The following is a 27674-nucleotide window of genomic DNA, read 5'->3' as shown; positions in this document are numbered from 1 at the left end:
CGACAGAGCGAGATTCCGTCTCAAAAAAAAACAAAAACAAAAAACAAAAAAACAAAAATTAGCTGGGCATGGTGGAGCACACCTGTAGTCCCAGCTACTCGGGAGGCTAAGGCTCAAAAAAACAAAAAACAAAAAAGTTTAATCAAATATTTGATAAGGATGTTCATCACAGTATTGCTTATAACAGTGAAATTTTGGAAACAAATGTACATCAATAAGGTTAAGTTAATTCTAGTAATTCTAATACAAATACCCTATGGAATTACCATAAAATCATTTTAAATGATGCAGACTTACATTTACTTACACAGAAAAGATGTTCATGACACAGTGGTCAGTGAAAATGGTTACGAAGCACTGTGGATAGTATGATCATACTTAAGAGCATATTGACAAAACTATATATAGATTTCTTTATAAATTGTACAGAAATGTACAAAAAGATGGCTGGAAGGATGTTCACCAAATTGTCAACAGTGAATCCATTTGGACAAATTTCAGTAAATTTTACTTTCTCTATTAATTTTGCATTGTTTGACTGTTTTTAATCGATATTATTTATAGATAATTGTTACTTATTTTTCCCATCCTCAAAAGAAGTTTGCAAATTTAAGTTCTACAGATCTTTATCAAGTAAATGCTTTTAATTTTCTCATTACCCACACTGAAACTGTAATTTGCATCAGCAGTCCTTTGTGCACAACCACAGTTCTCCTTCACATCGTATTTATTCTGTACCCAAATGTTTATGGTAGCAAGAACATTTTATATTATTAAAACATAAAAATAAAAAGACTGGGTTTGGTGGCTCATGTCTAATCCCAGCACTTTGGGAGGCCAAGGAGGGTGAATCACTTGAGGTCACAAGTTTGAGACAAGCCTGGCCAACATGGTGAAACCCTGTCTCTACTAAAAATACAAAAATTAGCTAGGCGTGGTGGTGCATGCCTGTAATCCCAGCTACCTGGGAGGCTGAGGCAGGAGAATTGCTTGAACCCGGGAGGCAGAGGTTGCAGTGAACCAAGATCATGGCACTGCACTCCAGCCTGGGAGACAGAGCGAGACTCTGTCTCAAAACAAAAAACAAAAACAAAAAAAGAGGTGGTTCCTGCCCTATAGGCAGTTAAGATCTAAAACACTGACAAATCTAAAGTGGTTAAAGTGGTACAAAGAATAGCTAATACTTAGATATTTGTTCATATGTATTTGTATATCTATAAATCTACATCACAAGAAATTAAGTAGTTATAATCATCCTACTTCTATAAGCAGAAGTCAAGAAATTCCACTAAATTAACAGTCAGTTCAGACCAAAATAGTTTAATTTTCTACTGTCATTTTGCACTAGAAGATTAAAGTAAGGAAGTTCATCTACACACACAACCATATCATTGTCTGATAAGACCAAAGGTTCAGTAGCAATGTTAAAAAGTGTTAACAAAGGGGGCTTTTATGGGCTTTACTAGTATTTGTAATGCATTGTGTTTCATGAACTAGGATACAAGTAAAAGATTATCTACGGTCGGGCGCAGTGGCTCACGCCTGTAATCCCAGCACTTTGGGAGGCCAAGGCGGGAGGATCATCTGAGGTCAGGGGTTCAAGACCAGCCAGGCCAACATGGTGAAACCCTATCTCTACTAAAAATACAAAAATTATCTGGGCACGGTGGCAGGCGCCTGTAATCCCAGCTACTCAGGAGGCACAGGTTGCAGTGAGCCGAGATCATGCCACTGCACTCCAGCCTGGGCGAAGAGCAGGACTCCATCTCAAAAAAAAAAAAAAAGAAAAAAAAAGGAAAAAGAGTCGCTTGAACCCAGGAGGCAGAGGTTGCAGTGAGCCAAGATTGCACCACTGCATTCCAGTCTGGGTGAGAGAGAGAGACTCCATCTCAAAAAAAAAAAAAAAAAATTACTATATTATCCTATATAGTGTTTAGATGTCTTAAATTACCTCATAAACATTTTTGAAGTGTTGGGGTTTTTGAGCGGAGGATGAGATGGGTGACAGGAATTAGCTGAGAGTAAGAAAAGTAAAACAGTACTTTAGTGAAACCAGGGTCTAAGGCCAGGCGCAGTGGCTCATATTTGTAATCTCAGCATTTTGGGAGGCTGAGGCAAGCGGATCATTTGAGGTCAGGAGTTTGAGATCTGCCTGGCCAAAAAGCTGAAGTCTCCTCTCTACTAAAATACAAAAATTAGCCAGGCGTGGTGGCAGGCGCCTGTAGTCCCAGTTACTTGGGAAGCTGAGGCAGAACTGCTTGAACTCAGGAGGTGGAGGTTGCAGTGAGCCAAGATTGCACCACTGCACTCTAGCTTGGGCAACAGAGCAAAACTCCCGCTCAAAACAAAAAACAAAACAGGGTCTAGAAAGGTAAATGAAAAAGGAAAAAAAATGATTTTTTTTTAATTTACAGAAAACAGAACAACTCTCAAGAAAACAGGAGAGGCCGGGTGTGGTGGCTCACACCTGTAATCCCAGCACTCTGGGAGACAAAGGTTGGAGGATCACTTGAGCCCGAGTTTGAGGCTGCAGTTAGCCATGTTCACACTCTAAAAAAAAAATTGTATTTTAATAAATAATCTAATAACATCTAACACAGTACCCAGAAGACTATAACATAAATCAAAACATTTATGGCCCTATTATTTCATACATTTGTCTGCAACTTTCAGAAACAGGTGAGTGAAAACTGGTCTCCTCTCAAGTACACTAAGTAAAGCTATAGCATAAAAGCAACCGGAGCACAGAAGCACACTATGAAGGCAGCAACCTTATCTGTTTTTTGTTTTGTTTTGTTTTGTTTTTGAGATGGAGTCTCGCTCTGTCGCCCAGGCTGGAGTGCAGTGGCATGATCTCGGCTAACCGCCAGCTCCGCCTCCCGGGTTCAAGCGATTCTCTTGCCTCAGCCTCCTGAGTAGCTGAGATTACAGGCGCACATCACCATGCCCGGGTAATTTTTGTATTTTTAGTAGAGACGGGGTTTTACCACGTTGGCCAGGATGCTCTCCATCTCTTGACCTGATGATCCACCCGTCTCGGCCTCCCAAAGTGCTGGGATTACAGACGTGAGCCACCGCCCCTGGCTTTTTTTTTTTTTTGAGACGGAGTCTGTCACCCAGGCTGGAGTGCAGTGGCGCGATGTTAGCTCACTGTAAGCTCTGCCTCCCGGGTTCACGCCATTCTCCTGCCTCAGCGTCCTGAGTAGCTGGGACTACAGGTGCCTGCCACCACACCCGGCTAATTTTTTTTTTTGAGACAAGAGTCTCACTCTGTCGCCCAGGCTGGAGTGCAATGGCGTGATCTCGGCTCACTGCAACCTCCACTTTCCAGGTTCAGGTGATTCTCCCGCCTCAGCCTCTGGAGTAGCTGGGACTACAGGCGTGCGCCAGCACACCCAGCTAATTTTTGTATTTTTAGTAGAGATGGAGTTTCACTATGTTGGCCAGGCTGGTCTCAAACTCCTGACCTTGTGATCCACTCGCTTCAGCCTCCCAAAGTGCTGTGATTACAGGCGTGAGCCACCATGCCCAGCTACGCCCAGTTAATTTTTTTTTTTTTTTTGTATTTTTGGTAGTGACAGGGTTTCACCATGTTAGCCAGGATGGTCTCGATCTCCTGACCTCCTGATCTGCCCGCCTTAGCCTCCCAAAGTGCTGGGATTACAGGCATGAGCCACTGTGCCCGGCCTAGCAGCAACCTTATCTGTTTCAAGGACTCCAAGAAGCTAGGGCATTGGCACATAATAAATGTTCAATAAATTTTGCTAAATCTGTCTATGAAGGAAGTACCAAAAACTGGAACTCATTTTTACTTTTATACTTTTCTCATTCTTGAGCCTGCTAGTAATTTATTACTAAGTATACTGGTGTTCAGCAAATGCCTATGTAAGTTAACTAAATCATAAGTATAACTGAATTTCTTAAACAGCACTTAAGAAAGGTAAATAAGAAGCCTTAAAATGTGATAACACCAGACACTCTTTTTTGTTTTTTAATGTGACAAGACAGAAGATACAAATATTCTTTTGTTTTTTGAGACGGAGTTTCACTCTGTCGCCCAGGCTGGAGTACAGTGGTGCTGTCTCAACTCACTGCAAATTCCACCTCGCAGATTCAAGCGATTCTCCTGTCTCAGCCTTGGGAGTAGCTGGGATTAAAGGCGCGCACCACCAAGTCCAGCTACTTTTGTATTTTCAGTTGAGACGAGGTTTCACCATGTTAGCCAGGCTGGTCTTGAACTCCTGGTCTCAAGTGATCCGCCCACCTTAGCCTCCCAAAGTGCTGGGATTACAGACATGAGCCACTGCACTTGGCCAGAAGATACAGATATTCTTTCAAAGGGACACCAAACCAAAGAAACTTGTGCCCATAATCCCAGCTACTGGGGAGGCTGAGTCGGAGGATTGCTTGAACCCAGGAGTTCAAGACTACCCTAGGCAACATAGAAAGACCTTATCTCCAGCCTGGCGCGGTGGCTCACATCTGTAATCCTGGCACTTTGGGAGGCCGAGGCGGGTGGATCACGAGGTCAGGAGATTGAGATCATCCTGGCTAACACGGTGAAAACCCATCTCCACTAAAAATACAAAAAATTAGCTGGGCATGGTGGCAGGCGCCTGTAGTCCCAGCTACTCGGGAGGCTGAGGCAGGAGAATGGCATGAACCCGGGAAGTGGAGCTTGCAGTGAGCCAAGATCGTGCCACTGCACTCCAGCCTGGACAACAGAGCGAGACTGCGTCTCAAAAAAAAAAAAAAAAAAAAAAAAAGACCTTATCTCCAAAAAAAAAAAAGAAGAAAAGAAAAGACCACGCAGCACAGTGGCCGATATCCGTAAACCCAACATTTGGGAGGCTGAAGCAGACCCACTTGATCCCAGGAGGTCAAGGGCTGCAGTAGGCCCTGATTGTGCCACAGCACTCTGGGCACCAGAGCAATACCCTCACAAAAAAAAAAAAAAAAAAAAAGATACTTTTAAAAATAACACAAAAAGAGGAGAGAGAGAAAGAAACTTGATTTTTTGGAAAATTTCCAAACAGGTTTCACAGTTAAGGGCTTTTTATCTTCTTTAAGGCAAATGATCTACACAAAATTTATTTTTTTCATGAGTGCAAGAAACCAGTCAAAGAATTCTAAGCAGAGTACGTTCTTTTTTTTTCTCGAGACGGAGTTTCGGTCTTGTTGCCCAGGCTGGAGTGCAATGGTTCAATCTTGGCTCACTGCAACCTCCACCTCCCGGGTTCAAATGATTCTCCTGCCTCAGCCTCCTGAGTAGCTGAGATTACAGGCATGCATCACCACGCCGGGCTAATTTTGTATTTTTAGTACAGACGGGGGTTTCTCCATGTTGGTCAGGCTGGTCTTGAACTCCCGATCTCAGGTGATCCACCCACCTCGGCCTCCCAAAGTGCTTGGGTTACAGGCGTGAGGCACCACACCTGGCCCACCTTCTGGTTTTCAAAGGCTAATTAAAGGCTGGGCACAGTGGCTCACACCTGCAAGTGTAATCCCAGCACTTTGGGAGACCAAGGTGGGTGGATCACCTGAGGTCAGGAGTTCAAGACTAGCCTGGCCAACATGATGAAACCCCGTCTCTACTAAAAATACAAAAATTAGCTGGGCATGGTGGCCCACACCTGCAATCCCAGCTACTCGGGAGGCTGAGGCAAGAGAATTGCTTGAACCCAGGAGGCGGATGTTGCAGTGAGCCAAGATCGCACCATTGCACTCCAGCCTGGGCAACAAGAGGAGAATTCCGTCTCAAAATTGAAAAAAAAAAAAAAAGGAAAATGCAGTCCAGATGCGGTGGCTCACACCTGTAATCCCAACACTTTGGGAGGCTGAGGTGAGCAGATCACCTGAGGTCAGGAGTTCGACACCAGCCTGAAAAACATGGAGAAACTCCATCTCTACTAAAAATACAAAATTAGCTGGCATGGTGGTGCTTGCCTGTAATCCCAGCTACTCAGGAGGCTGAGGCAGGAGAATCGGTTGAACCCGGGAAGCAGAGGTTGCGGTGAGCAGAGATCGCGCCTGGGCAACAAGAGCAAGACTCCGTCTCAAAAAAAAGAAAAAAAAGAAAGAAAGAAAAAAGAGATGGGGGTTTCACTATGTTGCCCAGGTTGGTTTCGAACTTCTGGGCTAAACCAGTCCTCTCGCCTCGACCTCCGAAAGTGCTGGGATTACAGACTTGAGCCACTACCTGCCTAAGTCTTTGTCTTGATCTAGGTATTTTATATTTTAAAACTCCTTCTAGGCCAGGCGTGGTGGCTCATGCCTGTAATCCCAGCACTTGGGAGGTTGAGGCAGGCAGATCACGAGGTCAGGAGTTCAAGACCTGGTGACCAACATGGTGAAACCCCATCTGTACTAAAAATACAAAAATTAGCCGGGCATGGTGGCGGGCCACCTGTAATCCCGGTTACTCAGGAGGCTGAGGCAGGAGAATCGCTTGAACCCGAGAGGTGGAGGTTGCAGTGAGCTGAGATACTGCCACTGCACTCCAGCCTGGGCGACAGAGAGAGACCTTATCTCAAAAAAACAGCAACAACAACAAAAAACAAAAAACAAAACCTCCTTCTAGGCCAGGCATGGTGGCTCACGCCTGTAATCCCAGCACTTTGGGAGGCTGAGGTGGGTGGATCACCTGAGGTCAGGAGTTCGAGACCAGCCTGGCCAGCGTGGTGAAACCCCATCTCTACTAAATATACAAAAAAATTAGGCCGGGCGCGGTGGCTCACGCCTGTAATCCCAGCACTTTGGGAGGCCGAGGCGGGCGGATCACGAGGTCAGGAGATCGAGACCATCCCGGCTAAAACGGTGAAACCCCGTCTCTACTAAAAATACAAAAAAATTAGCCGGGCGTAGTGGCGGGCGCCTGTAGTCCCAGCTACTTGGGAGGCTGAGGCAGGAGAATGGCGTGAACCCGGGAGGCGGAGCTTGCAGTGAGCCGAGATCCCGCCACTGCACTCCAGCCTGGGCGACAGAGCGAGACTCCGTCTCAAAAAAAAAAAAAAAAAAAAAAAAAAATTAGCCAGGTGTGGCTGTGGGCTCCTGTAATCCCAGCTACTTAGGAGGCTGAGGCAGGAGAATCACTTGAACTTGGGAGGCAGAGGTTGCAGTGAGCCGAGATCACGCCACTGCACTCCAGCCTCTGTCACAAGAGCGTGACTCCGTCTCAAAAAAACAAAAAACTCCTTCTTCTAAGTGGTTAAATTATTTATTTTGTATATAGGTGAGAAGGAGGATTCATAATAAATTAGATATGCACATCCAAAGTTGTCAAACAAGTCATATTGCCCAATTTCCACAAGCCATTCAGAGTCCAAAAAACACTGGAACAAAAGGACAAATCCAAATTACAGCACAGATTTGCAACCAACTCAAAGATACACTTAGAAACTTTCTACAGAAACGTTTTTCAGGATAGCCATAAAAAAGAATGAAATCATATCTTTTGCATCCATGTCTGGATGCAGCTGGAAGCCATTATCGTAAGTGAATAAACGCTGGAACAGAAAACAAAATACTGCATGTTCTCACTTGTAAGTGGGAGCTAAACATTGAGTATTCATGGACATACAGATGGCAACAATAGACACCGGGGACTACTAGATAGGGGAGGGTCGGGGGTAATGTTGGAAAAACTGTTGGGTTGCTATGCTCATGACCGGACCCGGGTAACAAGATCATTTGTATCCCAAATCTCAAGATCATATAACAAACAAAATAAAAGTTGAAATTACTTAAAAAAAGGCTGGGCGCAGTGGCTCACACCTGTAATCCCAGCACTTTGGGAGGCCGAGGCGGGTGGAAACCAAGGTCAAGAGATGGATACCATCCTTGCCAACATGGGGAAACCCCGTCTCTACTAAAAATACAAAAATTAGCTAGGCCTGGTGGCACACGCCTGTAGTCCCAGCTACTCGGGAGGCTGAAGGAGGAGAATCGCTTGAACCCAGGAGGTGGAGACTGCACTCCAGCCTGGCAACAGAGCGAGACTCCGTCTCAAAAAAAAAAAAAAAAAAAAAGACATTACTTAAAAAAAAAAAGTTCTCAGTCTTCTAAGGGAAATAATTCTTAAAGTCTAACACAGTATTAACAATATAGTCATATCACAGTGTGGGCAAATATATTTTAAAGTAATCCTTTAGCATACCAGGCCCTGCATACTGCTAAATGTTAAAGAAAAGGATAATAATACTATTGTAACACTTTCTGTAAGAAATATGAAAAATAATGTGCTTGCTTTTCTATTAAATAGTAAAATGAAAAAACTCAACTAATTATTATCTACTAAAGTTGACAGACACCCAAAAAGTAACTTAAAAAGCATGATATAATAACTTTCCTACAGATGTTCATCTTACATTTTAAAACATTTTCAAAGAGGGTAAAAAAAAGCAAGTCATGAGCAGAATTATTAGTTGCACGTTTACATGCTACTTTACAAAATGAAACAAAGGGAAAGGGAGATAGAACAGATACTAAACGTTTCTGAAACAGAAGGCACTCTTGTTATTTAATTAAGAACTAAAATGGCCCCATTACACAAGGCAACGTGATTTAACAATGACGTCATTTATAAAGAGAAAGCCACTGGAATGAATAAATAGGAGCAATGGAAAAGGTCTGAAGACTGTCTTCTCATATCCCACTGATTTTCAAATCAAAGCACTTAGATTTTTTTTTTTTGAGACGGAATCTAGCTCTGTTGCCCAGGCTGGAGTGCAGTGGTGCGATCCCGGCTCACTGCAACCTCTGCCTCCAGGGTTCAAGCAATTCTCCTGCCTCATCCTCCTGACTAGCTGGGACTACAGGTGCGCGCCGCCATGCCCGGCTGATTTTTTGTATTTTAGTAGAGACGGGGTTTCACCATGTTGTCCAGGCTGGTCACGAACTCCTGAGCTCAGGCAGTCCACCCGCCTTGGCCTCCCAAAGTGCTGGGATTACAGGCATGAGCCACTGCACCCAGCCCCCTCAAAGCACTTAGATTTTAAATGAGATCTTTCCTACTTAAACTGAAATAACCATTTAAAAAGCACCAAACACCCTAAGAAACAAGTATATCTTTCTGTGCTGATATCTCTAGAAAATAAATTTTTTAAATTAAAAAGAGAAACAAGTATAATACTAGGGAAAGACAAAAGACGCAGAAACATTCAACATTATATTTGATAAAATATAATCTTAAAATAGAAAATTCTTTCATATGACCTTTTGCACAAAAATGATAACTGGTAAGACATTTAAATCATCTAAACCTACTTTTCATTAATGTCCAAATGTACTGCTCTAAAACACAACTTTTTAACAAATTAGCTCTCAGCAATCTGACTCCAAGTTTAGTGACACCCTTGGCAAACCAACCCTGGTATCACATTCAACTTAACTTCTAAGAGAAGACATTTTCCTGACCCCAATAAAACCCAGCAGATGTGAAATTGTTATTTTTAGTACCTGAAATTTGGTTTGTGAATGAATTATACCCATCAAGGAAATATGTTCTATTCTCCTGCCAAAGCCCAGCCCTGCACTCTTTATTAGACAGAACTCACAAGAAGTCATCCAAACTTAAATCTTTAAAAGCCAACTCCCCGTCAACCTGCGGCAAGAGTTTCAGGATTCAGCAGCGGCTAAGAAAAACATCTGAGGCTTTAAATGAAAAGTAAAATAAAATAAAATAAAGATCTGGGAAAATATGACTACAAAATGAAAGGAAAAGCTGTTGATAAAAGAGGGAGGGGTGTCAATTTAAAAAAAAAGAAACATCACGCCTGTAATCCCAGCATTTTGGGAGGCCAGGAGATCGAGACCATCCTGGCCAACATGGTGAAACCCAGTCTCTACTAAAAATGCAAAAATTAGCGGCTGGGCACAGTGGCTCATGCCTATAATCCCAGCACTTTGGGAGGCCGAGGCAGGCAGATCACCTGAGGTCAGGAGTTCAAGACCAGCCTGGCCAACATGGTGAAACTCAATCTCGATTAAAAATACAAAAATTAGCCAGGCGTGGTGGTGGGCATTACTCGGGAGGCTGAGGCAGGAGAATTGCTTGAACCCAGGAGGCAAAGGTTGCAGTGAGCCGAGACCACACCATTGGACTCCACCCTGGGCAACAAGAATGAAACTCCGTCTCCCAAAAAAAAAAAAAAAAAAAAGATCATTTTAAAAAATAATGAATGTAAACAGACTAAGTGAACACCATGGAAGCTGCAATCTTCCACAATCATGTAATATATCTCATTTTGTACAGTGATATATACATGTATCATACAACATTTCACATCCAATGTTCTTTCTACATCGTACCAAGAAGTTGAACATACTGCAAAAAGGTTAAATTTTACAGTAAAATAACTATCAGAGAAGGGGGTAAAATTAGATACTTTTTTTTTTTGACAGGGACTCACCCTACTGCCCAGGCTGGAGTGCTGTGGCGTGATCATGGCTCACTGCGTCCTCAACCTCCCGGGCTCAGGCAATCCTCCCACCTCAGCCTCCCAAGTAGCTGGGACTATAGGCGTGTGCTACCATGCTCAGGTAATTTTCATATTTTTTGTAGAGATGGGGGATCCCTATGTTGCCCAGGCTGGTCTTGAACTCCTGAGCTCAAGAGATCTGCCTGCCTTGGCCTCCCAAAGTGCTGGGATTACAGGCATGAGCCACTACGCCTGGCCAAAACAAGATACTTTTGCCAGCAGGAAGGCAAAAGCTGAAAAAGGAGTAAGCCTCTAGGAAGTGATTTTATTATCTTTCTTTAAGGATGAAGTCATATCAATTAAAGGGGAAATACTACACAATTATTACTAGCCAGAAAGGAGAAAACTTGGATCTTCAAAAACCCCTATTAATGAAGCAAACAATCTCAACTCTTACAAAACAGCCTGTCAATGCCTCATTATCTCCTTAGTGAATGTCAAGCTCCTCTTACCTTACAGAAACACACACGCATTTTCTTCAGCTCAAACACCATCAGTAACAACTAGGTAGCCCTAGTCTATGACATATTAAATGGCAGACTTCCCCAGAGCATGATTTAGCAATGAGAATGCCTCATAACTGTTCTCTAAACCCTAAGTTATAAGCCTTTTAGAAATTGCAAGGATCCAAATTATTAACAGGAATAATCCCACAGTTTGCTCTGAAGAAGAGCAAAACCGGGCACTTCAATCTAAGAGCAAATAGAAAATAAACATGATGGTGTAGGTTGCCCAGAAGTGTCTAATTTTCTACGTTGTAGAGGTCAGTTTTTATAAAACTTTTCCCATTTCTATTCCCATAAATGTTTAGTTTATAAAACATTTTTATAAATGTTTTATAAACATCTGTCAGTTTTAGAGCATTAAATCTTAAATCAAAAACACCTTTTCGAATACATTTTTTTTTTTTGAGACGGAGTCTCGCTCTGTCACCCAGGCTGGAGTGCAGTGGCACAATCTCAGCTCACTGCACGCTCTGCCTCCCAGGTTCACATCATTCTCCTGCCTCAGCCTCCCTAGTAGCTGAGATTACAGGCACCCACCACCACGCCCAGCTAATTTTTTTGTATTTTTAGTAGAGATGCGGTTTCACCATGTTAGCCAGGATGGTCTTGATCTCCTGACCTCATGATCCGCCTGTCTCAGTCTCCCAAAGTGCTGGGATTACAGGCGTGAGCCACCAGGCTGGCTCGAATACATTTTTAACAATCTAAAGAATTGTTCAAGTCCCTAGTTAAAACAGGTTGCACCCTAGACTAGTAAAACTAGCCTCAGCTCTGGCTGTTGTCTCATTAAGTGATTCTCTGTACCTCAATTTCCTCATCTAGAAAATAAGGCAGTTGTACTAAATAACTTCAGTCCCTTCCAGCTCTAACTTTCAATTCTAAGATTTCAATTAACTAAGAAAATTACTGTCTTGTTAAAGCTCAACATGTAGTATTTCTAAACACACCACAGGAATGTAAGAAATCAGGGAACTTAAGCAGACTTTCCCCCTAGATTTACCAAAACTGCAGGAGGCAGGAAATATGGTTGCCTATTTGCTACCCTCACTTATGTAAGAATCAGTTAAATGGAATGAGAACTTGGTAACAAAAGTAAACAATTTATAAACCCACATATATATGCCAAAAGAACTAGAAGTGGCCAGGCGCAGTGGCTCACGCCTGTAATCCCAGCACTTTGGGAGGCCAAGGCGGGCGGATCACGAGGTCAGGAGTTCGAGACCAGCCTGACCAGCACAGTGAAATCCAATCGCTACTAAAAAAATACAAAAAATTAATGGGCATGGTGGGACGTGCCTGTAATCCCAGCTACTCGGGAGGCTGAGGCAGAAGAATTGCTTGAACCCGGAAGGCAGAGGTTGCAGTGAGCCAAGATCGCACCACTGCACTCCAGCCTGGGAGACAAGCTAGAGTCAGTCCCAAAAAAGAAAACGAAAAAAAAAAAAAAAACAAACCTAGAAGTTGGGTGATATTATTTGGTGATATTAAACTATTTTCCGTATTTGTATAATTGTGCCAGCATATAAAGATGTATGTGTATCCTTTTATTGTGCTTTATTAAAGATTAGCTCCATACAATGGAATTTAAAATGATAAAGTCAGGCCGGGCATAGTGGCTCACACCTGTAATCCCAGCAGTTTGGGAGGCCAAGGCAGGCAGATCACTTGAGGTCAGGAGTTCGAGACCAGCCTGGTCAACACAGTGAAACCCCGTCTCCATTAAACAAACAATTAGGCGGGCATGGTGGCACACGCCTGTAATCCCAGCTACCTGGGAGGCTGAGGCAGGAGAATCACTGGAACTCAGGAAGGGGAGGTTGCAGTGAGCGGAGATTGCACCACTCCACTCACTACAGCCTGGGCAACAGAGCAAGACTCAGTCTCAAAAATGAAAAAAAAAAAAAAAAAAAGATACAGTCTACATAGACTTACATCTGTTTACTGTTTTAAATTTCAAATTAATAGTGAAACATTTAGTTCAAAATGAAAGACCCTGAACATTATGGTCAACAGATTCAATATTCTTCCCAGACTGTTTTTCCCTTCAATGCTCTCCTCATTCCTAACTCTTCTCAATCCTACATCCCCCACTCCATTCCAGACCCCAACTTACCCCACTCCCTTTCCTTCTCCCTTCCTAACCACACACAGTACTTTCAAAGCAGTCTAGGAAGTTAGACTGCTACCTAGAAGTATCAGAATCACCTAGGATGCTCATATGTTAGTGTGAAGGGAAGCTATGGGATTTTGTTTTTCAGATAACTAGGAGTTAAAAAAAAATTCAATCCTGATTAACCAGCACACTCAGAGTGTGGGATATTCTGGTTAATACTAACCAGGGAACTTACTTCGTTGAAAAGCAACCCGTTAGATCATTTTCCCTTCAATTAGGAGTTACAGTTCACAAGAAATATCTGATGATTTAATCTGTGTTCTACAAACAGGTAAAATTCATAATCAATTTTTTTTTTTTTTTTGAGACGGAGTCTCACTCTGTCACCCAGGCTGGAGTGCAGTGGCACGATCTTGGCTCGCTCCAAGCTCTGCCTCCCAGGTTCAAGCGATTCTCCTGCCTCAGCCTCCCAAGTAGCTGGGACTACAGGCTTGTACCACCACGCCCGGCTAATTTTTGTATTTTTAGTAGAGACGGGGTTTCACCATATTGGTCAGGCTGGTCTTGAACTCCTGACCTCATGATCTGTTCACCTCGGCCTCCCAAAGTGCTGGGATTATAGGCGTGAGCCACCGCGCCCAGCCCATAATCAAATTTATTTTTATTTATTTTTTTTTTTTTTGAGACGGAGTCTCGCTCTGTCACCCAGGCTGGAGTGCAGTGGCGCGATCTCGGCTCATTGCAACCTCCGCCTCCCTGGTTCAAGTGATTCTCCTGCCTCAGGCTCCTGAGTCGCTGGGACTACAGGTGCGCGCCACCATGCCCAGCTAATTTTTTGTATTTTTAGTAGAGACAGGGTTTCACAGTGTTAGCCAGGATGGTCTCGATCTCTTGACCTTGTGATCCACCCGCCTCGGCCTCCCAAAGTGCTGGAATTACAGGCGTGAGCCACCGCGCCCGGCCGCCTTTTATTTTTATTTTTTGAGACAGGGTCTTGCTCTGTCAACCAGGCTGGAGTGCAGTGATGTGATCTCGGCTCACTGCAGCCTCTGCCTCCCAGGTTCAAGCAATTCTTGGCCTCAGCCTCCTGAGTAGCTGGGACTACAGGCGCGCATCACCATGCCTGGCTAATTTTTTTATTTTTAGTAGAGAAGGGGTTTCGCCATGCTGGCCACGCTGGTCTTGAACTCCTGACCTCAGGTGACCCACCCACCTCAGCCTCCCAAAGTGCTGGGATTACAGGCGTGAGCCACCGTGCCCAGCCACCCGACTAATTTTTGTATTTTTTTTTTTTTTCAGAGTCTCACTCTGTTGCCCAGGCTGGAGTGCAGTGGTGCAATCTTGGCTCACTGCAACCTCTGCCTCCCAGATTCAAGCAATTCTCATGCCTTAGCCTCCCGAGTAGCTGGGCCCATAGGCATGTACCACCACACCCGGCCAATTTTTGTATTTTTGTCGAAGACAGGGTTTCGCCATGTTGCCCCAGCCGGTCTTGAACTCCTGAACTCAACCCATCCACCTGCCTCGTCTTCTCAGTGCCTGCATTACAGGCGTGAGCCACCACACCCGGCCCATAATCAATTTTTATCCTATGGAGGAGTTGGCCTACAGGCCAAAGAAGGCCTTAGAGCTAAGAATGGTTTTACATTTTTAAAGGGGTGTGGAAAAAAAACATACAAAACAGAAAATGTGGCTGGGTGCAGTGGCTCACACCTATAATCCCAGCACTTTGGGAGGCCGAGGCAGGTGGATTCACATGAGGTCAGGAGTTCGAGACCAGCCTGGCCAACATAGCAAAACCTTGTCTCTACTAAAAATACAAAGATTAGCTGGGCGTGGTGGTGCTCGCCTGCAATCCCAGCTACTCAAGAAGCCCAGGCAAGAGAATCGCTTGAACCCGGGAGGCAGAGGTTGCAGTGAGCCGAGATCACGCCACTGCACTCCAGCCTGGGTAACAGAGTAAGACTCCATCTCAAAAAAAAAAGAAAAAAGAAAAAAAAGAAAAGAAAGCCGGGCGCGGTGGCTCACGCCTGTAATCCCAGCACTTTGGGAGGCCGAGGCGGGCGGATCACGAGGTCAGGAGATCGAGACCATCCTAGCTCACATGGTGAAACCCCGTCTCTACTAAAAATACAAAAAATTACCCGGGCGTGGTGGCAGGCACCTGTAGTCCCAGCCACTCGGGAGGCTGAGGCAGGAGAATGGCGTGAACCTGGGAGGCGGAGCTTGCAGTGAGCCGAGATCGCGCCACTGCACTCCAGCCTGGATGACAGAGCAAGACTCTGTCTCAAAAAAAAAAAAAAGAAAAGAAAATGTGACCACATGAGGCCCACAATGTCTAAAATATTTACGTTACTATCTGGCCCTTTACAGAAAGCTTGTCAACCATTATTCTGCAGCACCAAAAACACTGAGTATTACAGACTCCAGAATATTGCCCAGAAGTGCTCCTTCCTCAAACTAACTGGAGAAGTTTCCTTTACTTCAGTTCCAAATTACTTAAACAGAATCTCTATTTCTCAAATTTATTTGCCTAAATGACTAACCCTCAAGAAAGTGTTATCTCAAAAGGCTCTATTCCTTTCTTTAGACTCAAGTTTCAGCTACGATGCTAGAGTTGGTTCCCAATAAATGCACAAGATTGGAAATCTTACCTGGGGCATTTGCTATAGCCAACGGCAGGCCTTGAATTGGGTGCACCTGGATTCCTGAAGTACCCAATGCACTGAGGTTAATGGTCTGGAGGCCTGGCATGGAGGAGAGTTGAGCAGCATTCACAGTGACTGTGCCAGCAGGAATGGAAGCAGCTGAGGCAATGGGTGTGAGAGTGGTGTTGCTGCTGCTGGTCTGCCCCAAGGAAACACCCTGCATTGGGGCTAAGGTGATTGTTTGGGCTTGTGGGTTCTGAACTTGGAGGTTCTGCAGCTGTAGAGTCTGCCAACTGACCTGTCCATTGGGCCCCACTGTTGGTGTCCGGATGATGATGGGACCAGAGTTTGGAACAGCCTGAAGCTGGAGGTTCTGGAGGGTTTCCTGGGAGATGGCTTGAGTTGTAAAGGTCTGCCCTGACAATGGTGCTGCTTGGAGGGCCTGGAGGGCCTGTCCCCCTTGAACTAGCTGAGGCTGGATAAGAATTTGTTGCTGCTGTGTCTGCTGGTTTTGCTCTCCTTCTTTTTGCTGGCCTGCTTGCAATGAGCCTCCAGATGTCTGGTTTTGCTGGATGTTCAGAGCATCAGACCCCTGTAGCCCACTGACCCTCTGGGGTGTCTGGCCTTGAGAGTTGGTCCCTGATGATCCACTGGTAGTAAAGTTCATAATTCCCATGTTGCTGGTGGTAGTAGTAGTTGAGTAGCTATTGGCATTGGTGAAAAAGGAGCTGGAACTGGCTTGTGATGATACCAAGCTGGCAGAACTGATGGTAGTCCCTGAGGTGACAGGCTGTGAGCCACTCTCCTGGGACCCAGAGCTGCTGATCGTGACTGCCTGAGAGCTGGGAGTCAAGGTAGCTGCAGAAACGCTGTTGACAGGTAGCAAGGTGATGTTCCCATTCAGGGCCACTGGTACATTGGTCACATACTGAGTCTGTCCTGAGAGTACATTATTAGCCAGGCCTTGGAGGGGGACAGCCTGCTGGAGTAGGTTTGGCATAGCAGCAATGATGTTGCCTCCACTTCCTCGATTTGTGATAATCTGTTGGTTTGCACCTGGTATGATCTGTATTTGACCAGAACCATCCTGCTGCACTTGGGCCCCAGTGGCAGCAAACTGCAGCTGTTGCCCATCAACGGTCTGGAACTGTGGGATTACTTGATACTGAATATTAGGCATCACTCCAGGTAGTCCTGTCAGAACTTGCTGGTTCTGTAAGTTGGGAGCGGCAGCCACAACATACTGCCCACCAGAGACTGTGCGATTCTTGGAAGACTCACTGCCATTGCTGCCATTGGTACTGCTGCCACTCTGTTCCTTTGAGGTAGGGGTAGCCCCAGAGGAGGAAGAGATGATCTGCCAGCCATTGGCACCCTGTGAAAGTTGTGTGGCTGTGAGGTCAAGCTCACCTGTTCCCCCTGACTGACTCGGGCCCTGGGAGTTGTTGCTGTTCTCATTGGGTGACTCAATTCTGCTGCAAGTTGCTGCCAGCAGAGCCAAAGGGGATGGCTGGGACTCCTGGCCGAAAATAAGGGAGAGGAAAGGAGTTAGTGACACCCAGCTGCCAGCCTAGGGGGCAGTATACAACAAATAAACAGCAACGTAGTGCAGACAAGGAGCAAAAAACAGAAACAAAAAGCTGACCTATCTGTATTGCTGAAACTCCTTTGTCTTTGGGGATCTCCATTCTCTTACTTCCTTATCTATAAAATGGTTTAGTCTCTCCCTAAAACGCTTTCTGTGAAGAGTAAGGCAATTATCTAAGAATATTTACATCTTCTCAACACCTTCCCCACTCTATGATTATCACTTACCTGCCCTCCTCCTCCAGTGCTGCTGCTACTGCCTGTGCTGCTACTTCGAGCCTGTGAAAAGGCACCACCACCATTACCATTGCCCCCATTATTGCCACCAACTCCTTTTTCAATTTTCACCACAGCTGTCATTTCATCCATGGAGTGATCTTGGTCTAAAATAATTAAAAAACAAACAACGTAAACTTGAGGGAAGAAAAGAAATGAAGTAGGAAGGATAAAAGGAGGCTATGATGAAATAGCAATGACTAACAGGAAGGCGAAAGCCACCAGTATAAAGAAAATGGATTGGAGGGCAGAGGGGAGCTGCAGGGCATGCAGGACATGAACTAGGTTCAATGTGCCAAAAGTGGGCCTTAATTCTCCCTTGTACAAAATTAAACTAAGAAAACATTCAAAAAGTGCTTTGGGGATAGGAAATGTGAAGGACGGTAGGCATGGTGAGAGTTTCTAAATAAGAAAAAGTATCCTAAGGGAAAAAAAGGAAAAGGACAGGTAAGGCATAAAACAACATGTGGGTGCATGGAAAGCTTGCTAAAATTAAGTTTAAAAGAGATGGAGAGGCCAGGCGCGGTGGTCACGCCTGTAATCCCATTACTTTGGGAGGCGGAGGCAGGCAGATCACCTGGGGTCGGGAGTTTTGAGACCAGCCTGACCAACATGGAGAAACCCTGTCTCTACTAAAAATACAAAATTAGCCGGGTGTGGTGGCGCATGCCTGTAATTCCAGCTACTCCCGGAGGCTGAGGCAGGAGAATCGCCTGAATCCGGGAGGCAGAGGTTGCAGTGAGCCGAGATCGCACCATTGCATTCCAGTCTGGGTAACAAGAGCGAAAACTCCGTCTCAAAAAAAAAAAAAAAAAAAAAGACAAACAAAAATCCAAGTGTGAAAAGTAACGAGAGGGGAAAAAGAAGTAAAAAGTGTGAGTAGAAAAACATTTGTGAATACTGCTAAGGAACTAAAGGGATCTACAGGTTAGTAGTCAGAAGGTTTCGGGGCGGAGGGCGGGCCCTGAGGGAAAGGGCGGTTTCGGGGTGAGGGGCGTGGAAAGGGCGGGACGGTGGGGGGCGGGGGGGAAGGGAAATCTACGGAAAGTGGGGGGAGGAGGGCCTTGGAGCAGGCGGCGACCAGAGGGCGGACCAGGCAGGCGGTTGGCCCGGGCGGGGCCTTCGCTGCTCGGGCCGCCCCCGCGGCTCCAGCCCCCGGCGGGAGGAGCCTCAGGCGGGCGGCCGAGTAGTGGGGGGTAAGGCCCGTCCCCCGTGGCCGGGGCGGGCAGGGGGCGGGCGAGGCCACGCTGCCCCCTCCCCCGGGGCGGGCGGCCCATCCCCCTCCTCCTCGGAGGCCCCGCCACTGCCCCGTCTCCCTCCCTTCCCTCCGCCCCGGGCGGGACCTAGGCCGCCGCCGCCGCCGCCTCCCGCCCGCCCCCGCTTCACGGCGGGGATCGCCCGGTCGGCCCTCGCGCGCGCCCCCTCACTCGCCTCCCACCCCTAAGCTTGGAGTGGACTCATCCTTACCGCTCATGGTGGCAGCTGAGGGACAAGCTCAAGGGGGTCCTGTCCGGGGGGGTTGGGGGGGGCCGGGAAAAACGCGGACGCTGACGAGGCAAGCGAACCCGGACCGGACAGGGAGGGGGGGGTAAGGAGGAGGGAGCAGCGCGCCACAAGCCCAACCTAGGCCCCGCCCCTTCTCTGCTGCCCCGCCCAATGAGGGAGGGGGAAAGGAGGGACTTGCAGAAGAAAGACGGTGGAATTATCCAATGGCAAGACTCGCTTGCTCTCCAAGGCGTGTGAGACTAAGTTGCGTGCCTGGTGTCCGCCTAAAAAGACCGCCCTCTCAGTGTTAAAAGCCAATGAAGGATGCAGGAAGTGAAGATGGGCGGGAGCTGGAGATGATTGGCTTGGAAGGAAACCAGTCAACCGGCAGGCGGGCTCCCTGAGACGTAGGGATAGGCAAAGCTTTGATAGGAATGACAGAACAACGGCCAACCAGAATCCGGGATATGCTTGGGCAAAATCCTAGTGGGCGGAGAGGTAAGAAGTAGGCAGGAATAGGAGAGGATGAAGCTGATTAAAACCAATCAGAAATCAGGCGGGCAGCCAGGAACGTTATGATTGGAGTTAGACTGAAAAGAGACAGGAAAGGACGCATATTGACGTGAACTAAAAGCCAATTAAACGCCGAATTAACTGAGGGCGGAAACTTGGAGTGGCAGAGGAGAATTGGCGGCTCCCTCAGTTATTCAATCCAATGAGGGGACGAAGTAGGCCTGGCACCGCCTCCTAGTTAGCCAATGGGCGTTACTGGAGCTGCCCATCATGAGGGAGGGAAGAGGGCTATGCCAAGAGGAGACCGTCGCCATATTGGCCCTCCTCAGGGGACGTTGTTACAGTCATTAGGTGGGACGCTTTAGCGGAGTCCTGCAGCTCAACAGGTGTCAGAGCCAAGGCATTCGGCGCGCAGTTCCGCATCAACACTAGGACTTGTTTGCGTCTTCATTTAACTGCCCCTATAAAGTACCTCTCAAATCTTACCCCCCTCCCGGGTGGTCGGACAGGCGGGCAGATGCCTCAATGTCGCTGCAAGCCCTGGGAATGCAGGCGGGACGAGATCTGGTGACAGCACTCACCGAATAAGTTAATACTGAGCTGACCAATATGCAGAGTCTCCGTGAGACTCCAGAAAACGCGATTTTATTAAGTTCCCCCAGACAAAGGCGCTAACCACTTAAACGACTGGTTAACTTTTCAAGCCTTGAGGCTAAAGTGCGGATAAGTCACTTCCATTTTTTCCCCCTTAATAGTAAATACCGCCTATGCATAAAGCAAGATAGCTGAGCTCCAGCTTTTTGCAATCACGAAGGTTAAGAAACTTTACTGCAGGCACCTGGATTTCTGGCCTCCTCTTTATCCGTGTTTTGGTGGAGCCGGCCTTAATAGCTTGTCAATGACACGATGAGGTCATGTCCTTCAGTATTTGTATCTTATATGTTGTCACCTGCTTATATGTTCTTATGTTTTAAAATGTGAATTCTCCTAAACTATTTTAAGCCCTTTGAAGGTAAGAACTGAGGCCTCTGCTGCTTTAAACAGGTAAAAAGGTGAAGTGATTGCTGACTGCCTACCGTGTTAGGTGCCTAAGTCAGGGAGGCAGTTAGTATTCCATGTCATCCTTAAAAGGAAGATTTTATTAAGTATCAGCTATATTATGTATTTTATAAGTGAAGACATTTAGGCTGAGAAGTGACTTACCCAAGGTCACAAAGCAAATGAGTTGTAGTGTTAGATTCCAACCCAGAATAGTTCCACCAAAAGTTTTCTATAAATTCTTGAGGGAATTAAACTGCCGCCGGGCGCAATGGCTCAGACCTGTAATCCCAGCACTATGGGAGGCCGAGGCGGGCGGATCGCTTGAGCCCAGGAGTTAAAGACCAGCCTGGGCAACATGGTGAAACCCCGTCTCCACAAAAAATAACAAAAATTAGCCAGACGTGGTGATGTGCGCCAGTAGTCCCAGCTACTCGGGAGGCTGGGGTGGAAGAATCGCTTGAACCCAGGAGGTTGAGGCTGCAGTGAGCTCAAATCCTGCCACTGCACTCCAGCCAGGACAACAAAGCAAGACCTTGCTCCAAAATAAGTAAATATATAGACTGGGCGCGGTGGCTCATGCCTGTAATCCCAGCATTTTGGGAGGCCGAGGCAGGCGGATCACCTGAGGTCAGGAGTTCAAGACCAGCTTGACCAACATGGAGAAACCCCGTCTCTACTAAAAATATAAAACTAGCCAGGCATGGTGGGACATGTCTGTAATCCCAGCCACTTGGGAGGCTGAGGCAGGAGAATCGCTTGAATCCAGGAGGCAGAAGTTGTAGTGAGCCAAGATCGTGCCATTGCACTCGGGCCTGGGCAACGACAGTGAAACTCCATCTCAAAGAAAAAAAAAAAAGTAAATATATAGATGCTTTTTAATTTTTACTGTCTAGCTCCTGAAAAAAAAAAAAAAAAGCCTACTCCCAGGACGGATCAAATGGCATCATCCTCTTAGATACCTTTATTATAAAATTTATCAGAATACATGACAATTAATTTCATCTCTCACTGTATCAAGGTTTCTCAAAATGAAATGTCACACACTCTCAGAATCCTCTGGGTTCTTTTTTCAAAAAAGGCAGATTCCTAGATTTCCACCCTAAACCTATTTTTAAGTAGCTCTTTCAAGTGATTAGGCCCTAAACCTAGTTTAAAACACACCAAGAAGGCTGGGCGCAGTGGCTCATGCCTGTAATCCCAGCATTTTGGCAGGCAGAGGCGGGCAGATCACTGGAGGTCAGGAGTTCGAGACCAGCCTGACCAACATGGTGAAACCCCATCTCTACTAAAAATACAAAAATTAGTCGGGCGTGGTGGTGCATGCCTATAGTCCCAGCTACTCGGAAGGCTGAAGCAGGAAAATCGCTTGAACCTAGAGGCGGAGGTTGCAGTGACCGGGGATCATGCCACTGCACTCCAGCCTGGGCGACAGAGCAAGATTTGGTCTCAAAGAAAAGAAAAGAAAACAAAACAAAACAAAAACACCAAGAGAAGAAACTGGGGAAAAGAAACTTCCAGAAAGGGAGAAATTTCCTGGAAGGAAGAAACTGCATTACTCATCTTTGTAAACCAAGCTCTGAAGATTCTAATAGCTGTTTAGTCCATTCAGCAACTGTCCATACCTAAACTTGCTTAGGGGTGGAGGTAGGGAGAGGAAACTTAACACCGTGGAGGAGTATTCTAAACATTTCACATATTTATCTAATTTAATTATTCCTACCAATTTAAGAGATAGTTGTCCCCTTTTACAGATGAGAAAACTGAGGCTCAGATATTTTAGTTAAATTATGACTGTTCTGTTTAGTTCCAAAGCCTGTGTTTTTTCCATAGTCCTAGACTACACCCGAATTGGGAATTAGGATAAAATTAAACTGACAAAAAGACCTAAATTCAGAAATTCAATAGCCATCATCCTTTTTACAATCCTTTCCCCTTTGCTCCTCCAGAAGAAGACAATTCAGCATGAGGCCAGTGAGGAATGCCCTAGACGTATACTAGTTTATTGATAGTCCCTGAGAGCAAATGAATGACATGATCCATCTTGTCCAATTGCTCTGTAAAAACCTGAAAAAGTGTTCTTTAGACTGAAAAAAAAAAACAAAAACAAAAAAACCAACTTATATCAAGGCTATTCAGATCCCTTACATGCACACACGCAGTGTCTATCTTTTCTTTTTTTTTTTTGAGAGTCTCACTCTGTCTCCAAGCCTGGAGTGCAGTGGTGCGATCTCAGCTCACTGCAACCTCTGCCGCCCAGGTTCAAGTGATTCTCCTGCCTCAGCCTCCCAAGTAGCTAGGATTACAGGTGCACGCCACTATGCCTGGCTAATTTTTGTATCTTAGTAGAGATGAGATTTCATCATGTTGGCCAGGCTGATCTCAAACTCCTGACCTCAGGTGATCCTCTGCCCACCTCGGCCTCCCAAAGTGCTGGGATTACAGGTGTGAGCCACTGCGCCCGGCAATTTTTTTTTTTCCTGAGACGGAGTCTTGCCCTGTTTCCCAGGCTGGAGTGCAGTGGCGCGACTTTGGCTCACTGCAACCTCTGCCTTTCAGATTGAAGCAATTCTTTCTGCCTCAGCGTCCCTTGTAGCTGGGACTACAGACATGTGCCACCATGCCTGGCTAATTTTTGTATTTTTAGTAGAGACAGGGTTTCACCATGTTAGCCAGGCTGATCTTGAACTCCTGACCTGAGTTGATCTGCCCGCCTCAGCCTCCCAAAGTGCTGCGATTACAGGTGTGAGGCACTGCACCTGGCTACCTGGTTAACTTTTTGATGTTTTGTTGAGATCTCATTATGTGGCCCAGTTGGTGTTGAACTCCTGAGCTCAATCCCAAAGTGCTGGGATTACAAGCACGAGCCACCATGCCCTGCTTAAAATTCGTATCTTTTTTTTTTCTATACAGAGTCTCGCTCTATGGCCCACACTGGAGTGCAGTGGCGCGATCTCGGCTCACTGCAAGCTCTGCCTCCCGGGTTCACGCTATTCTCCTGCTTCAGCCTACTGAGTAGCTGGGACTACAGGCACCCATCACCACGCCTGGCTAATTTTTTGTATTTTTAGTAGAGACGGGGTTTCACCATGTTAGCCAGGATGGTCTCGATTTCTTGACCTCGTGATCCGCCCACCTCGGCCTCCCAAAGTGCTGGGATTACAGGCATGAGCCACCGGGCCCAACCATTTTTTTTTGTTGGGGGTACAGGGTCTCGCTCTGTTGCCAGGCTGGAGTGCAGTGGCGTGATCTTGGCTCACTGCAACCTCCGCCTCCTGGGCTCAAGCGATTCTCCTGCCTCAGCCTCCCAAGTAGCTGGGACTACAGGCGCACGCCACCACACCCAGCTAATTTTGGTATTTTTAGTAGAGACAGGTTTTCACCATGTTGGCCAGGATGGTCTTGATCTCTTGACCTTGTGATCCACCTGCCTTGGCCTCCCAAAGTGCTGGGATTACAGGCGTGAGCCACTGCACCCGGCCAAATTCATATCTTTTATAAGAATGACTTCTATGAAGCCTTTCCTACCCCCCTCAGTTATTGAATACACTGGCCACTGTGCTCCTTTTATTTGCCACCATTAGAGGTATCTAAGTATCCTGTCTCCCCAACTACATTAAGCGATTTGAGGGCAGGGATGATGCCTTTTCACTTTGGATTCTCAGGGCCTGGAATATAGTTGAGTCCCAGTAAACATTTTTGTTAAATGGGAGGGGAAGCCTAATCCTGACCATCCTGAATAGTCTCCAGATATAATACTAAGATTGATTCTCAGCTTTCATTTGGGTGCCTTATAAAAGTTAAATCATTCTTCCTAATTTTTGTTTGTTTGTTTGTTTTATTTTGAGATGGAGTCTCCCTCTGTCGCCCAGGGTAGAGTGCAGTGGCAGGATATGGGCTCACTGCAACCTCCGTCTCCCAGGTTCAAGTAATTCTCCCACTTCAGCCTCCGAGGTAGCTGGAACTACAGGCACATGCCACCACCCCTGGCTAATTTTGTTATTTTTAGTAGAGATGGGGGTTTCACCATGTTGGCCAGGCTGGTCTCAAACTCCTGACCTCAAGTGATCCGCCCGTCTCAGCCTCCCACAGTGTTGGAATTACAGGCATGAGCCACCGGGCCTCTTCCTGATTTTGAACCCAATCCTCAGCTTTTTTCAGTCTCCCATTTAGGAATCTGATAATTAAGAACATTTTACAGGCCGGGCGCGGTGGCTTACCCCTGTAATCCCAACACTTTGGGAGGCTGAGGCAGGCGGGTTACCTGAGGTTGGCAGTTCGAGACCAGCCTGACCAACATGGAGAAACCCCATCTCTACTAAAAATACAAAATTACCCAGGCGTGGTGGCGCATGCCTGTAATCCCAGCTACAAAGGAGGCTGAGGCAGGAGAGTCGCTTGCACCCCGGAGGTGGAGGTTGCAGTGAGCCAACGTTGCGCCATTGCACTCTAGCCTGGGCAACAAGAATGAAACTCCATCAAACTCTCAACTACAGCTGAGTACAAAGTGGACTAACTGAAATTTCTTTTACCTGTCCTGCCTACTCTAGATTAAAGGAGGCTAGAAAAGAAGAGAGTCTTTTGACAAAACAGTAAAGTCTTGCAGTCTTCTAAACCCTTACTTTCCACCTCTCTGAACAAGAAAACAAGCCTAGACTTTTCACATCAGAAGCTTGTGATAAGCAGGCTAGGATCATTCAGTGCAATTAGGACTATAGAAGCTGGATGGAACATCACATACATCCCCGGAAGTCTTTTAAGAGCCCTGGAAAAGCAAGAAACTGATCCAAAAAGAAACTGAAACAAGACAGGCTTCTTTCTGGTTGGCAAGCCCAGAACTTGTGAGAAATTCAGTACTGGCTGCTGTTAACTGGTTGCTGATAATCTTTTTTGTGTTTGTTTCTTTGTTTGTTTTTATGAGACAGAGTTTTGCTCTTGTTGCCCAGGCTGAAGTGCAATGGCGCAATCTCAGTTCACTGCAACCTCCACCTCCCGGGTTCAAGTGATTCTCCTGCCTCAGCCTCCTGAGTAGCTGGGATTACAGGCATGCACCACCATGCCCGGCTAATTTTGTATTTTTTTAGTAGAGATGGGGTTTCTCCATGTTGGTCAGGCTGGTCTCCAATTCCTGACCTCAGATGATCCACCCGCCTCGGCCTCCCAAAGTCCTGGGATTACAGCTATGAGCCACCGCGCCCGGCCAATATTCTTTTTTTTTTGTTTTTTTAGAGACAGTCTCGCTCTTTCGCCCAGGCCGGACTGCAGTGGCACTATCTCGGCTCACTGCAAGCTCCGCCTCCCAGGTTCATGCCATTCTCCTGCCTCAGCCTCCCGAGTAGCTGGGATTACAGGCGCCCGCCACCTCGCCCGGCTAATTTTTTGTATTTTTAGTAGAGACGGGGTTTCACCGTGTTAGCCAAGATGGTCTCGATCTCCTGACCTCGTGATCCGCCCGCCTCGGCCTCCCAAAGTGCTGGGATTACAGGCATGAGCCACCGCGCTAGGCCTTTTCTTTATTATTATTAACATTATTTAAAGTGACTCATTCTGTTGTAAGCTGGGCGCGGTGGCTCACGCCTGTAATCCCAGCGCTTTGGGAGGCCGAGGCGGGCGGATCACAAGGTCAGGAGATCGAGACCATCTTGGCTAATGTGGTGAAACCCCGTCTCTACTAAAAATACAAAAAAAAATTAGCCGGACATGGTGGCAGGCACCTGTAGTCCCAACTGCTGGGGAGGCTGAGGCAGGAGAATGGCGTGAACCCGGGAGGCAGAGCTTGCAGTGAGCCGAGATGGCGCCACTGCACTCCAGCCTGGGCGACAGAGCGAGACTCTATCTCATAAATAAATAAATAAATAAAATAAAATGACTCATTCTGTACCTTTGCTGTGTCTTTCTTTCCTTATCTGAGAAGCATTGTGATTCATCCCTGCCTAGGCTGCACCTAGTAATACTAGGAAGGCATTCATTCGACTCTGCAGTCTGTGGCTCTGGTGGTCTTGAAGGCCCTGAAGGAGAAAGGCTGGTTGTAAAATGAGAATTTTTGTTTGAGGGTTGGGAGGCATGGTCAGGAACACAATTTAGTTATTGTTGGAGCTGAACTCTGGCTCAACCTTTTTTAATATTCCCTGACCGTAAGCCCAGCTGATGGTCTCTGGAGCTGGAAGATCCTTTACCAAACAAAACCAACAGCAGTTGGAGGCATGGTGAGGAAGAGGAAGAGAGATTGCTGAGAGACTGGAAGTTTCACAATCCATCTACTTTCTTGAGAACTGGAGAAGGGAGGCTCAGGGAACTGAGGAGGGTCAGAGACTGGCTTATACCCCAAATAGATCAAACATAGAGCTTTCCTGAACATTTAAATCTGACCCCTAGGGATTCCAGTTTGGAACAAACACATAATTAAAACATTTCCCTTCCCTTCCCCAAATACCCAAACCCCTAAGGCTTCTCAGGGAGCCTAGGCTTGCCACACCCCTGAGGAAGGTGTGCTTAATGTCAACTAACCCCTGTGGTACCCACACAAACCCAGACCCCTGCACCCCAAGTGGGATGAAGTCCTGCCTGGCAGCTAAGCATTTAGTTTTGTTTTTTTTTTGAGATGGAGTCTCAATCTGTTGCACAGGCTGGACTACAGTGGCACGATCTCCATTTACTGCAACCTCTGCCTCCAGGGTTCAAGCGATTCTCCTGCCTCAGACTCCCCAGTAGCTGGGATTACAGGTGTGTGCCACCACGTCCCGCTGATGTTTGTGTTTTTAGTAGAGACAGGGTTTCAACATGTTGGCCAGGCTGGTCTCGAACTCCTGACCTCAAGTGGTCCGCGCGCCTTGGCCTCTCAAAGTGCTGGGATTACAGGCGTGGACCACCACGCCCGGCCCGGCCCGGCCCAGCTCAGCATTTAAAAAAAAAAAAAGTTCCTCTTTTAACCAGAAGTGAAGCAGTTTCCTTTTCTCCTTCGTCTCCTGAGACAAGTAGCCCTGAGTCCGCTCCAGAGTCCAGAGTTGAGGAGAAAGGGACACCACCCCAT

General features: G+C 46.4%; 1 protein-coding gene across 3 annotated transcripts in view, besides 7 other annotated features; it reads right to left on the bottom strand.

Annotated features, from left to right (window-relative positions):
* The window catches only part of SP1 (Sp1 transcription factor), a 36271-nt gene extending 17073 nt beyond the window's left edge, over window positions 1–19198 (bottom strand). Inside the window, exons 1-3 of one of the 3 annotated variants that reach the window (NM_138473.3) lie at window positions 19076–19198; window positions 17561–17715; window positions 15752–17264 (exon numbers count right to left, since the gene is read on the bottom strand). In NM_138473.3, the coding sequence (NP_612482.2) occupies window positions 15752–17264; window positions 17561–17715; window positions 19076–19082 (1675 nt within the window). In that variant the 5' untranslated portion in view covers window positions 19083–19198. Of the gene's footprint in view, window positions 1–15751; window positions 17265–17560; window positions 17716–18689; window positions 18731–19075 lie in introns of those variants that run through there. The other 2 variants (NM_001251825.2, NM_003109.1) reach the window with 2 other exon arrangements.
* Window positions 17004–17253: an enhancer, noted in NCBI's record as "active region_6420". NCBI's record gives its function as "activates an Ori minimal core promoter by ATAC-STARR-seq in GM12878 lymphoblastoid cells {active_cell/tissue: GM12878}" and the evidence as "EXISTENCE:reporter gene assay evidence [ECO:0000049][PMID:35858748]".
* Window positions 17666–18424: an enhancer, noted in NCBI's record as "H3K27ac hESC enhancer chr12:53774734-53775492 (GRCh37/hg19 assembly coordinates)". NCBI's record gives its function as "activates a minimal SCP1, AML or CMV promoter by ChIP-STARR-seq in primed H9 embryonic stem cells {active_cell/tissue: H9 hESC(primed)}" and the evidence as "EXISTENCE:reporter gene assay evidence [ECO:0000049][PMID:30033119]".
* Window positions 18532–19161: a silencer, noted in NCBI's record as "silent region_4509". NCBI's record gives its function as "represses an Ori minimal core promoter by ATAC-STARR-seq in GM12878 lymphoblastoid cells {active_cell/tissue: GM12878}" and the evidence as "EXISTENCE:reporter gene assay evidence [ECO:0000049][PMID:35858748]".
* Window positions 19275–19569: an enhancer, noted in NCBI's record as "tiled region #10893; HepG2 Activating DNase matched - State 8:EnhW, and K562 Activating DNase unmatched - State 1:Tss". NCBI's record gives its function as "activates a minimal TATA promoter and a strong SV40 promoter by Sharpr-MPRA in HepG2 and K562 cells {active_cell/tissue: HepG2 | K562}" and the evidence as "EXISTENCE:reporter gene assay evidence [ECO:0000049][PMID:27701403]".
* Window positions 19275–20105: a biological region, named in NCBI's record as "Sharpr-MPRA regulatory region 10893".
* Window positions 19402–19701: an enhancer, noted in NCBI's record as "active region_6419". NCBI's record gives its function as "activates an Ori minimal core promoter by ATAC-STARR-seq in GM12878 lymphoblastoid cells {active_cell/tissue: GM12878}" and the evidence as "EXISTENCE:reporter gene assay evidence [ECO:0000049][PMID:35858748]".
* Window positions 19605–20105: an enhancer, noted in NCBI's record as "H3K27ac hESC enhancer chr12:53773053-53773553 (GRCh37/hg19 assembly coordinates)". NCBI's record gives its function as "activates a minimal SCP1, AML or CMV promoter by ChIP-STARR-seq in naive H9 embryonic stem cells {active_cell/tissue: H9 hESC(naive)}" and the evidence as "EXISTENCE:reporter gene assay evidence [ECO:0000049][PMID:30033119]".

This window comes from Homo sapiens, chromosome 12, assembly GCF_000001405.40.
Source record: "Homo sapiens chromosome 12, GRCh38.p14 Primary Assembly".
Classification (NCBI taxonomy): Eukaryota; Metazoa; Chordata; class Mammalia; order Primates; family Hominidae; genus Homo; species Homo sapiens.
The sequence above is the reverse complement of the archived record's forward strand: the minus strand, read 5'-3'. Positions and strand labels throughout refer to the sequence as shown.